This window comes from Homo sapiens, chromosome 5 (assembly GCF_000001405.40).
Source record: "Homo sapiens chromosome 5, GRCh38.p14 Primary Assembly".
Classification (NCBI taxonomy): domain Eukaryota; kingdom Metazoa; phylum Chordata; class Mammalia; order Primates; family Hominidae; genus Homo; species Homo sapiens.
Window position 1 is genome coordinate 172154402 of NC_000005.10, and position 13289 is coordinate 172167690.

General features: G+C 48.8%; 1 protein-coding gene across 3 annotated transcripts in view, besides 1 other annotated feature; it reads right to left on the reverse strand.

Annotated features, from left to right (window-relative positions):
• Nucleotides 1–13289, reverse strand: part of STK10 (serine/threonine kinase 10) — a 146146-nt gene that overhangs the window by 112323 nt on the left and 20534 nt on the right. For all 3 annotated transcript variants that reach the window (XM_047417629.1, XM_047417628.1, NM_005990.4), the window contains exon 2: nt 2223–2387. In XM_047417629.1, coding sequence (XP_047273585.1) covers nt 2223–2387 — 165 coding nt within the window. The remainder of the gene's footprint in view (nt 1–2222; nt 2388–13289) is intronic.
• Nucleotides 10096–11075: an enhancer, noted in NCBI's record as "H3K27ac-H3K4me1 hESC enhancer chr5:171591501-171592480 (GRCh37/hg19 assembly coordinates)". NCBI's record gives its function as "activates a minimal SCP1, AML or CMV promoter by ChIP-STARR-seq in naive H9 embryonic stem cells {active_cell/tissue: H9 hESC(naive)}" and the evidence as "EXISTENCE:reporter gene assay evidence [ECO:0000049][PMID:30033119]".

Consider the following 13289-nt stretch of genomic DNA (forward strand, 5'->3'; position numbering starts at 1 on the left):
CACCTCCCAAACAGGCTGTACCTTTCATGCCTCCACACCGCTGCCCACGCTGTCTCTCCTGCCTGCCATCCTTTCCCCCTCTTTATCTACCCAGCTCCAGGGCCACCTTCCTTGATCTCATAGTGTCTAAAAGGCAAATCGGAGGAGCTGGGGCCTTCTACAAAGTAACAAATGTAGGCTGTCAGGGCAGCTACAATAGAGGAGGGAAAGAAATGGTCTTGGCCACAGCAGTGGGCCTGGAGGAGAAAGCACCAGCCTAAAGTGACAATTTAGGGACGGAAAAGTCTAGCGTATTTATTTAAACAACAGCATGACAGTCGCAGTCTAGTTACAAACTGTGTTTGGCTCTACCTGGTTTTCCAGCTCTGCCACTTGCTAGCTGTGTGGCCTGGGGAGCAGCTCACATAGCTTTTTTGTTTCTCATTTTCTTTTGTAAGATGGGATAAAGCAACAACCTCACAGAATGAAGATTAAACCACATAATGCAAGTGAAACTCATAGCAAAAGGCCAAGCACACAGTAAACTCTCAATAAATGCTAGCTACTATAAGTAGTATCTTTGGACCTGGGAAAGTTATGAACTTGGTACCCAGCCACAATCAATAACAGGAATAGAAACATAATAGCTATTTTTCTTAATGGGTACATAGTCAGCAGGCCAACAAATGCTGTATGCACAGAGAGGAAGATGAATGGACAGAAAGTGGGTGGCTGGGTGGGTGGGTGGGTCAATGGGAGATCTCCTTTGGTTAATATCAAAAGTGGCTCTGTGAGGCCAGTTTGGCAATAGACATTAAAGACTCTTAAAAATTCTCGCTGGGCACAGTGCCTCACGCCTGTAATCCCAGCATTTTGGGCAGCCGAGGCAGGTGGATCTCCTGAGGTCAGGAGTTCAAGAAGAGCCTGACCAAGACGGTGAAACCCCGTCTCTACTAAAAATATAAAAAGCAGCCAGGCGTGGTGGCATGCACCTGTAATCCCAGCTGCTTAGGAGGCTGAGGCAGGAGAATTGCTTGAACCCAGGAGGCGGAGGTTGCAGTCAGCCGAGATCGTGCCACTGCACTCCAGCCTGGAAAACAGAGTGAGACTCCATCTCAAAAAAAAAAAAAAAATTCTCATAAAAAAGCTCTCAGAGGACACACAAAAAAATCCAAAGATGTCCATCACAGAGTTGTTTATAAGAGCAAAATAAAAATAAAAATAAAAAAAAGAAAGAAAGAAAAGGAAATAGCCTAAATGCCCAACAGTAGAGAAGGGCACAGTCAGAAGATGGATTTCTTTGGAAGAATTAGAAAAAAAAAAAATGAAGAGGACTGGGCATGGTGGCTAACACCAGTAATCCCAGCACTTTGGGAGGCCAAGGCCAGCGGATCACCTGAGGTCAGGAGTTCGAGACCAGCCTGGCCAACACGGCAAAACCCCATCTCTACTAAAAATACAAAAATTAGCTGGGCATGGTGGCACATGCCTATAATCCCAGCTACTCAGGAGGCTGAGGCAGGAGAATTGCTTGAAGCCGGGAGGCGGAGGGTGTAGTGAGCCAAGATCACACCACTGCATTCCAGCCTGGGCAACAGAACGAGGCTCCATCTCAAAAAAAAAAAAAAGAAGTTGAGGGGTGTTGCTGAGTTTGGAAGATGGCGCTTGAAGCTACAACCACACTGTGAGGATGCTGATGGAGAATAGCGGGCTGGTAAAGAGCCCCCTTCTTTAGTGCAGCCATCGAGAAGGATCTCCATGTAACAGCTGTAGCAGTGGCAGAAGAAGTGCTACTATGACAAATAACAAAACAGCCAATACTTACCGGGCTCTTACATGTGCCCAGCACTCTTCTAAGCACCTATCATGAATTAACTCACTTAATCGCAGTAATCACTCTATGAGCTAGGTACTATTATTAGCCCCACCTTACAGATGGAGAAACTAAGGCATGGAGAGGTTAGGAACTTGGTTAGGATTATTAAGCTTGTAAACAGCAGGGCTGGGATTCGAGGCCAGGCCATAGCGCTTTCTGTTCCAAATCACTAGTTCTACTCCCAAGGGGGAGGCACCACAGGAAAGGGTGGGTAAGTGGCCAGGAGCTCCCTACTTCACCATCTCCTTGCCCTAGCCCTCGTCCTCAAAGCAGATGCTGAGAAAGAGCTGAAGACTTCAGGACCAGGCTAGCTCCAGAGCACCAGGCCATGGGGGCTGAGCTGGGACAGACAGGGCGGCAGCCTTACCCACAGCTTCCCGTCGTGATAGTAGGCTCCCAGGAGCTTCACAATGTAGGGGTGGTCGCAGGTGGCCAGGATCTCAATCTCCACGATGTAGTCCTCCAGCTCCTCCTCACTCTTGGTTTCAATGACTTTGGCCGCAGCCAAAGCACCCGTCTCCTTATTCTTGGCCTGCAAAGAGGAGATACAGGAGGTCAACAAGGCATGCTCCGCAGGAAACTGACCTTTGGACGTGAGCCCGCAGTCCTGCATGAGTGTGAAAACAGAGGCCGGATGTCCAGATGCTGAACCGGAACGTACATTGTTCTTAACAATAGCCACACATCATGTCTGTACTTAAGAGTAAGTACCATACACCCCTACAACACTATGGAATAAACAAAAATACAAGAATGACACAGCTCTACAAATACCAACATGGAAAGACTGTTGATTTGTTCAGTAAAAAACGAAGAAAAAAACCCAAGTCATTGAACAATAAAAATGGCACAATACTTTTTGCATAAAAAATGGAAAACTACGCCTTCATACATGCTCACAAGCATCTGTGAATGTATGGAAAACTCAGGAAAGATACTGCCTGACAGCAGGCTGGGGAGGGGCCAGAAATAGGGAGGCATTCAAAGGGTACTTTCACTCTGTTTAAAATTTAAAATCTAGGCCGGGTGCGGTGGCTCACACCTGTAATCCCAGCACTTTGAGAGGCCAAGGCAGGGAGATCACAAGGTCAGGAGTTCGAGACAAGCCTGGCCAACATAGTGAAACCCCATCTCTACCAAAAATACAAAAATTAGCCAGTGTGGTGGCATGCGCCTGTAGTCCCAGCTATTGGGGAGGCTGAAGCAGGAGAATCGCTTGAACCCGGGAGGCAGAGGTTGCAGTGAGCAGAGACCACACCATTGCACTCCAGCCTGGGTGACAGAGTGAGACTCCATCCCAAAAGAAAAAACATTTTTTTAAATCTGTTTAAAAATTTTTTTTGTTGTTTTTTGAGATGGAGTCTCACTCTGTCGCCCAGGCTGAAGTGCAGTGGTGTGATCACTGTTTACTGCAGCCTCCGCCTTCTAGGTTCAAGCTAATTCTCCTGCCTCAGCCTCCCGAGAACTGGAACTACAGATGTGCACCACCACGCCTGGCTAAATTTTGTGTTTTTAGTAGAGACAGGGTTTCACCACATTGGCTGGGCTGGTCTCGAACTCCTGGCCTCAAGTGATCCGCCCATCTCGGCCTCCCAAAGTGTTGGGATTACAGGTGTGAGCCACTGTGTCTGGCCTAAAATTTGTTTAAAATTTATGATAGGAATGTTTGATGCGTTTATTTGCAACATTTCCCACGCACTAACAGTAGAATGAAAAGGCAGACTGCGTAAGTGCCCACCAGTTACAGCGGAACTGTTTCGTAGATGCATGTCACCTAGGCAAAACAAGTCTTCCTTATGTGAGGAATAAGAGGGTAAGAAAACTCCACACACACTAAGATGGCTATAATTTTAAAAAATGGAAAATAACAAGTGTTGGTGAGGACTGGAGAAGTTAGAACCCTTGTGCATTGTTGGTGGGAATGTAAAATGGTGCAGCCAGTGTGGAAAACAGTTTGCCAGTTTCTCGAAAGGTTAAACATAGACCTATCCTAGGACCTAGCAATTCTGCTCATAGGTATATACCCAAAAAAAAAAGCTCAAAGCAAGGACTCAAGGAGATATTTATATACTCATAGCAGCCAAAGTGTGGAAACAATCCAAGTGTCCATCAATAGATGAAGAATATTTGGGAGGCGGAGGCAGGCAGATCACTTGAGGTCAGGAGTTCGAGACCAGCCTGGCCAACATGGTGAAACCCCATCTCACTAAAAACACAAAAATTAGCCGGGCGTGGTGGTGGGCGCCTGTAATCCCAGCTACTCAGGAGGCTGAGGCAGGAGAATCACTTGAACCCAGGAGGCAGGGGTTGCAGTGAGCCAAGATCATGCGACTGCACTCCAGCCTGGATGACAGAGCAAGACTCCATCTCAAAACAAACAAACAACAAAAAAAGATGAATGAATAAACAAAATGCGGTATATCCACACACTAAAATATTCTGCCATAAAAAGGAACAAAAAGGAAGGCAATTCTGACACAAACTACATGGATGAATCCTGAAAACATTATGTAAAGTGAAATAAGCCAGACACAGGAAACATAGTGTATAATTCCACTTACCTGAAGTACCCAGAGTAGCTGAAATCATAGAAGTGGAAAGTAGAATAGAGGTTTCCAGGGGTTAGAAAGGGGAAATGGGGAGTTATTGTTTAGTGGGTAAAGAGTTTTTGTAGAGGATGATGAAAATTTTGAGGTGTAGACAGCAGTGATGGCTACACAGCTGTGAACTGATTTAATGCCACTAAATTTACACTTAAAATTGGCCAAAATGATAAATATGATGTTCTGTATATTTTACCACAATTCAAAAGAGAGAGAAATAATCATGTAAATGGAGCAAGCAATCCCACCCCATTGCACACAAGGAGCTAGTGTCTGGGAAATGGGAGGTGAGGACCCACAGCTCCCCAAGGATCCTGCGAGGACGTTGGTGGGGAATGCTGCAGCAAACATCTCACCCACCCTGCTGCATGGGGTTCCAGTGTTGAACAAGTACACATGGCCAGGCACGGTGGCTCACGCCTACAATCCCAGCATTTGGGAATCCGAGGCGGGTGGCTTGCTTGAGTCCATGAGTTTAAGAATAGCCCAGGCAACAGAGCGAAATCCCGCCTCTACAAAAAAAAATGCAAAAACTAGCCAGGCATGATGGCATGCACCTGTAGTCCCAGCTGCTTGAGAGGCTGAGGCGGGAGGATCACTTGAGCCCAGGAGACGGAGGCTGCAGTGAGCTGAGATCTTGCCACTGCACTCCAGCCTGGGTGACAGGAAAAAAAGAAAACAGCCGGGCACAGTGGCTCATGCCTGTAATCCTAGCACTTTGGGAGGCCGAGACAGGCGGATTGCCTGAGCTCAGAAATTCGAGACCAGCCTAGGCAAGATGGTGAAACCTCATTTCTACTAAAATACCAAAAAATCAGCTGGGCATGGTGGTAAGCACCTGTAATCCCAGCTACTCAGGAGGCTGAGGCACAAGAATTGCTTGAACCCGGAAGGCAGAGGTTGCAGTGAGCCAAGATGGCACCACTGCATCCCAGACTAGAAAACAAAGCAAAACTCTGTCTCAAAAAAAATAAATAAATAAAAAAGAAAGAAAAAGGCCGGGCGCAGTGGCTCATGCCTGTAATCCCAGCACTTTGGGAGGCCAAGGTGGGCGGATCACAAGGTCAGGAGTTTGAGACCATCCTGACCAACATGGTGAAACCCCATCTCTACTAAAAATACAAAAATTAGCTGGGCGTGGTGGCAGACGCCTGTAATCCCAGCTACTTAGGAAGCTGAGGCAGGAGAACTGCTTGAACTCGGGAGACGGAGATTGCAGTGAGCCGAGATTGCACCACGGCACTCCAGCTTGGGCGACAGAGTGAGACTCTGTCTCAAAAAAAAAAGAAAGAAAAAAAAACCACAAACACATTTCCCTACAAAATGGCCCCTAGCCAGGTGCGGTGGTTCATGCCTGTAATCCCAGCATTTTGGGAGGCCAAGGTAGGTGGATCACCTGAAGTCAGGAGTTCAAGACCAGCCTGGCCAACATGGTGAAACCCTGTCTCTACTAAAAAGTACAAAAACTAGCCAAGTGTGGTGGCACATGCCTGTAATCTCAGCTACTCAAGAGGCTGATGTGGGAGAACTGCTTGAACCTGGGAGGTGGAGGTTGCAGTGAGCCGAGATCGCACCACTGCACTCCAGCCTGGGTGACAGAGTGAGATGCCATCTCAAAAAAAAAAAAGGCCCCTAAAAGCACGCTGCTCATCTGGAGACCTTAAACAGCAATCTATTGCAAAGCACAGGGAAAACGAGCTCCTCTGGACTGAATGAACATATTATAGCTTAGTCTCCACCGTGGCACCTTCCTAAGGATAATATTGATCACGCTCCACCCTTGCCTTCCATAACAACTCTGGAACCTGACTGCACCGGAAATTCCGGCTGGCCAAGTTATTCCTGCACATCTAGCACCCTATGGATGACAATGAGCATTCATTCCTGTCATCACAGGGACCCGAGGCTTGGAGTTTCCCCCATTCCACAGACGGACGTGCAAGTCCAGGTTTAGAGGGGAAATGTGATTGGAACTAGGGGAGTGGCACCAGAATTTGCATCAGGATCCTCTAACGTCAAAATTTTCTGCACTTTCCACCACTGTACAAGGTCTCCCTACAATCTCCACCACTTAGAAGTCTCTAAGACCAGATGCCAACAGACATTTAACAGAGCACTACTGGGCCAGCCCTGCACAGGGTGCCCACAATACAGACACAGAGCAACCCTCTCCCTGGCCAGCTCAAAGTCTAGCTAGAGAGACACAGCCCTCTACTGAAAGTGACGAGACAGCATGCTTATGATGGGGTGTGGGAGAGGGCACCTAACCCCACCAAGGAGCCTTCTGGAAGGAAGCAATACTAAGGGGTGGGCCGGGTGTGGTGGCGCACGCCTGTAATCCTAGCACTTTGGGAAGCTGAGATGGGTGGATTGCTTGAGGTCAGGAGTTTGAGACCAGCCTGGCCAAAATGGTGAAACCTCGTCTCTACTAAAAATACAAAAAATTAGCCAGGCGTGGTGGTGACCGCCTGTAGTCCCAACTACTCGGGAGGCTGAAGCAGGAGAATCGCTTGAACCCAGGAGGTGGAGATTGCAGTGAGCCGAGATCACACCACTGCACTCCAGCCTGGGTGACAGAGTGAGACTCCGTCTCAAAAAAAAAAAATAAAAAAATACTGAGGAGTGGTGCAAGCAGGCAATTTCTCTCCACATTTGCTTTCTGTACACTCATTCTCAGTTTAGATAAATATTTCTTTCATTAATTGAGCTGCAAAGTCCCCAGGATCCCATGCAGTGATAATAATATGCCATTTGTCATATTATGTCATTGATAATAATATGTTGGAGTGGACCCTTGATCCACTCTGCATGCAGCACTAGGCAGTGCTGCTTATATGTGTCAGTGCATTTATCTCCTGGATCACCCTACAATGTGGTGCTGTCAATATCTCATAGACAGATGAGGAGACCGATCCGAGGCAGAGTACCCTAGGAATGAGGCGGCAGAGTGGGCTTGGAACTAAGGCAGTCCCATGCCCAGGTGTGCACACTCTTGGTGGCCACATTCTTCCTCCATCCAAGTCCCTTGCAGGCCAGAGCCTGGGATGCCTCCACACTGGGCCCAGGAGCCCAGTTCAGGGAAGGACATTTCATGATGGGCCATTTTCCAGAGCCAGTCATTGTCCTAGAATTTACCAGCTCATGTGGCTCTAACTCTGTGGGGACTTCTCCCCTAAACTCAATTTTGAAAGCTTGTTTAGGCCGGGCGCAGTGGCTCACGATTGTAATCCCAGCACTTTGGGAGGTCGGGGCAGGTGGCTCACCTGAAGTCAAGGGTTGGGGACCAGCCTGACCAACATGGTAAAACCCCATCTCTACTAAAAATACAAAAATTAGCCAGGCAGGGTGGTGGGTGCCTGTAATCCCAGCTACTCGGGAGGCTGGGGCAGGAGAATTGCTTGAACCCGGAAGGTGGAGGTGCAGTGAGCCGACTGCGCCACTGCACTCCAGCCTGGACAACAGAGTGAGACTCCATCTCAAAAAATAAATAAATAAAAATTAAAATTAAAAAAAGCTTGTTTAGAATGCCTTAGCCACCCATCATTTAAGTTATCTGGTGCTTGCTCGCTCACTTGCTCTCTCTCTCTCTCTCACACACACACACACAGTCTTAACTGATTGTGTCCCTGCCTTTTCATTCCTTGTAAAGCTGATTTCTGTACATCCCCACCAGAGGGCTGGAAAGAATCCTTTCCTTCTGCACACATTCCTCTTTCTCTTCCTACTCCTCCCCTTCCTCCTCTCCAAACCCAGAAGAGAGGTTACACCAGCTCTGCTCCTTTCCTGAGAGGAAGGTTGAAGGCTTAGTGGAGTGGCTAGAGCCAGGGCCAGTGACCAAGGCAACCACCTTGACCATGCTGAGCTGGCCAAGGGCCCCCCTTCAATCACTCATCTTTCAGTCCTGAAAGCTGGCAAAGAAGGCCGCATGTCACCTTTACCTGGGTTTCCTGAAAAGGGATGTTGTCTCCTGATGGTGGAGGAGGCCCAGGTGGGGACCATTTTCCAGGAGTGCACAAACCTTGCCTTGCCCACCATCCTGAAAGGCAGCACTGACCAGACGGCCAGGCCTCAGCCAGTACCAGTGTCAACACAAGGCACGCCCGCTACCCAGCACCTCACTCAGATTCCATGGAGACCAGAACCTGCCAGACAGAGGTTAGTAGGAACCACGGACCAAAAAGTGACTTGGCCAAAATTAAATTCTTTCAAAGCCTCGTTGAGGCAGCAATCCATCACCTTGAGGCCACAGGAGATGTAATACGGCTGATGATAAAAACAGCTAACACTGACTGAGCACTCTCTGTGTTCCAGGACAGGACTTAAACGGAATTTCTCACTTCATCCTCCATCCAGCCCTTAAAGACAAATATTATTGCCAGTTTACAGATGAGGAAAAAGATTCAGAGAGGTGGGGTGATGTGCCTCAGGTCACACAGCGAGTGGGGGTGGAGGGTAAAGGCTGGATCCAATTCAAGCCTTCCTTACCTCCAAAACATTTCCCCCAAAGACCTTTCCTGATGACTGTCCAGAGCTCCCTGTTCTATCTCCCTTTGCTAAAGATGAATGACAATCACAGCCAATAGCAACCACTCACAGCAAGGGAGTGCCTGGCAGCTGAGGAGTGCTCAGGCAGCCAGAATGTCATCTGCCAACAAACCGTTAAGGCCAGCGTTAGCCTTGGTGCCGGTTTCCCAAGTGAGCAGACTGAGGCTTGGGAATCCAGCAGGACTGTGAGCTGTCACAGTGGCCTCCTGACTCCCGGCCTAGTGTTCACTACACCACACTGCCAGGAAGCAGCTTATTCCCTAGTCATTCATTCAACCACTATTTACTTGGCTAAATTCTAATGAACAAGACAAGCAATTTTCTGCCTAGGAAAATTTGCATGAGGGAATCACTGCCCTCCCATATCATAATTCACCCTTCCCCGATTTTTCTTCAGCAGGGACCAACCTGCCCTCATTTCCAGTCCCTAAAATACAATATCTAGAAGTGGGTAGGGACTCATCTTGGCCAATCAGAATACCGCGCTCCCTCTGGCCACAGTGATTGGCTCAAGAATAGGCACGTGGCCAGGCGCGGTGGCTGACCCCTGTGATCCCAGCACTTTGGGAAGCCTAGGCAGGTGGATCACCTGAGGTCAGGAGTTTGAGACCAGCCTGGCCAACATGGTGAAACCCCACCTCTACTAAAAATACAAAAATTAGCTGGGCGTGATGGTGCATGCCTGTAATCCCAGCTACTCGGGAGGCTGAGGCAGGAGAATCACTTGAACCCGGGAGGCGGAGGTTGCAGTGAGCCAAGATAGCGCCATTGCACTCCAGCCCGGGCAACAAGAGCGAAACTCCATCTAAAAAAAAAAAAAAAAAAAAAAAAATTGGCATGTGATCAAGTCAGCCAATGAAATGCATTCTCAGAACAACTGCTGAGCCAGCTGAGACTGCTGCAAGCTCTCCTTGACTTCTAGCCTCCAGCCTAAAGCCATCCTGCCCCTAAGGGGGCCTGAAAATCAAACTAGGTCTGAGGCACTAAAGCTGAGAGAGGGCATGAGAAGACCGTTGATCCCTTCAATTAACTTTTACAACTCTCTATTAAGGGCTTTATTTTATATATAAGAAAACCGATGCTTAGAGAGATGAAGTCACCGGCCCAAGGTCACACAGCAGGTTCAAAGGATTAGGAATTGAATTCCGGCCAATGTGGGTTCAAATTCCATGTATCTGACAGCTTTGCCAGAGATGCCTGTATATTCTGCAAAAGTCTCATCTGGGCCTCAGTCTCCCCCCTATATGGGGGAGGATGGATGGTGAAATGATGTCCAACTCTCTCCATGCTCTGATGAGAGCCGTCTTAGGGAGTGGGTGAGTCTTGGAAAGCTAAGGGTGGTCCAAGTAGATGAGGCCCACGTGGGAGTTGGCAGGCAAGGAATAGCATAAAGAACAAGCGGCTGTCTGTGGCCTCCGATGTCCCTCTCTCCCAGCGGCTGAAGCAAGGCCGGGTTCCGGCGCACGATGAGGGGAGCCTTGGCCCAGCCTTCCACTGCTGGCTGGCAGTGACTAACGCCTCAGCCCACACCCTTGCGAGCAGATACACAGTGGCCACTTGTGTTTTCTGGCCCAAGCACCTCTGTGGGAACAATCCTCCCCCTTGTACCCGCAAGGGGCCCAGCCTGGAGGAGGTGGGGATAACCCTCCCAGCCGGGGACACTGCTTCACCCAAGGGGCCCAGCCAGCCCAGTCAGGGGCTGGGGGCTTCCTGAGAGTCAGCTGCACAAAGGCCAGCAGGGGACCCACCCCCAGGCCCTCCCCTTCCCTCCCGGCTGCCCACTGATCAGTGTGTTGCTCCCACCGCTTCCCGGGAAATAGCTGATATCACAGACCTCAGGACAGTGAGAAAACATTAGCCACCCCTCCTTAACTCCAGCTCCCCAACCCAACTCTGCAGATGAGGAAGCTGAGTCCACCAAGGCGAATGCAGAGACCAGGGTCCCATCTGTGACACTTGTCTCATCTGTGACACAGGTGTGCCTCAAGAAGAGTAAATGAGAACACAAGAGCAAAGAGCCTAGAGGGGCCTGTTCCTGGGGCACCCCTAACCTCAGGTCTGGGAGCCACTGGAGCTGCTGGGAAATTGACCCTGGGGCTGGGGAGCAGTGGGGGACTTGGCCAGCATCCATTCCCCCTTGTGGATTCAAAACTCTAGTTGCTTTTGGACACTGCCTCTCCCTCGCTCTGAGTCCAAGGGATTCATAGCGGGTTGACCTCACCCTGGGCCGGGGCATACCCCAGGCCCAGCTAATCAGAGGACTGAACCAAGGGCGCCTGAAAATGAAACTTGTCACAGTCATTGGTTCAGAGATGCCTGGGCATGGTCCCAAGGCAGGCCAACAGGGTCGTGCCTGGGTGGCTCTTTAAATTTGTTTTTGGTTGTTTGCTTTTTTTTTTTTTTTTGAGACGGAGTTTCCCTCTTTGTTGCCCAGGCTGGAGTGCAATGGTGCGATCTTGGCTCACTGCAACCTCCACCTCCCGGATTCAAGTGATTCTCCTGCCTCAGCCTCCCGAGTAGCTGGGATTACAGGCATGCGCCACCACGCCCGGCTGTTTTTGTATTTTTAGTGGCGACGGGGTTTCTCCATGTTGGTCAGGCTGGTCTCGAACTCCCGACCTCAAGTGATCCGCCCACCTTGGCCTCCCAAAGCGCAGGGATTACAGGCGTGAGCCACTGCGCTCGGCCAGTTGTTTGCATTTTTGCTGAAGTTATCAGGACAGCAGCTTTTTCTTTCTCTGGCGCTGCTAAATCGGTAGAATGAAAGGCTGAAGGGTCTTGTAGCCCATCTTGCCACTCCTTCAGAGTGGCTGCCGGAGGGTGAGGCCAAGATGGCAGAAGCAGGGCTCACAAATGGAGTGCTACTGGCTCTGTGGAACACCTGGAGACAGCTGTACCTGAAGGCGGACTCTACCCGTAGACTTCTCAGTTACATGAGCCGATAAATTCCCTTTTGGATTCCTGCCATTGGCCACCAAGAAGGAGATGAGTTCCCTCTCTCTGGGGCTGTTCCAGCAAGGAACAGATATCTAGAGGAGTGCCTCACCACACAACACGCGTGTATCAAGGGCCACCTTCATTCCCAAGCCCACCATAATCTATAAGGTGACATTCACTGAGACCTCACCAAAGAGCTGACTGATAATCTAGGATTTGGAGACCTACATGGAAAACACGTAGGACAGAGGCCAACAGCAACTATGGAATTCTTCTGCCAAAAGAATCTTCCTCCAAAAAAGTGGAAAGGATCATTTTACACTTAATAAATTAGCAAAAACATGCAATTGTGACAACCCAGCACTGGAGACGATGTAGTAAAATGGGTGAACGCATTACTGACAAGAATAGAAACTGATTCAATCTTTCAAAGACAACAATTGGAAATAGGTTTTAAAAGCCATGAAAATACCTTTTCAGCCTATTATCCCTCATTCCTGGGAATTTAAGGCCAGGAAATACTTTTAAAAAGACAACAGGCCAGGCACGGTGGCTCGTGCCTGTAATCCCAGCACTTTGAGGGGCTGAGGCGGGCGGATCAGAAAGTCAGAAGTTCGAGGCCAGGCTGACCAACATAGTGAAACCCCGTCTCTACTAAAAATACAAAAATTAGCCAGGCAAGATGGCGCGCACCTGTAGTCCCAGCTACTCGGGAGGCTGGGGCAGAAGAATCACTTGAACCTGGGAGGCAGAGGTTGTGGTGAGCTGAGATCGTGCCACTGCACTCCAGCCTGGGAACAGAGCAAGAATCTGTCTCAAAAAAAAAAAAAGAAAAAAAAGAAAGGCAACAAAAGAAATGTACTAGGATCATGTTCAGTTTATATTAGTCCATAATAATAGAAAAAAGGTGAAATCACTAAAGACAATGGTTAAATTAACTTAATGGGATATTAAGTAACCCTTAAATGATAAACAAGAAGATAATACAGTAATGAGAAAAAATCCTTAAGCCATAATAGTAAATAACAAAATAGGATAATGAAATTGTAACTAGGCTACAATTTTCCTTTGGGAAAACTGCATGTGCCTATGGACAGGGACGAGCTAAAACACAGCATAATGAAGTCAAGCGATTTATAAAGATGATTTTCACCCAGTGACATCTGGCAATTATCCACAGGGGTCCCAGCGAGGGCAGACTGGGACTGGTGCAAATAAGCCTCCCACATAGAGAGAGACCACTTCATCTGAGCTTGCCTTACACGTTCCAGAGACAGACACCCTCGTTCTTTCGGAACCCACATGAGCTGCACTGTCTGATACAGTAGCTACTAGCCGCACGTGGCTAT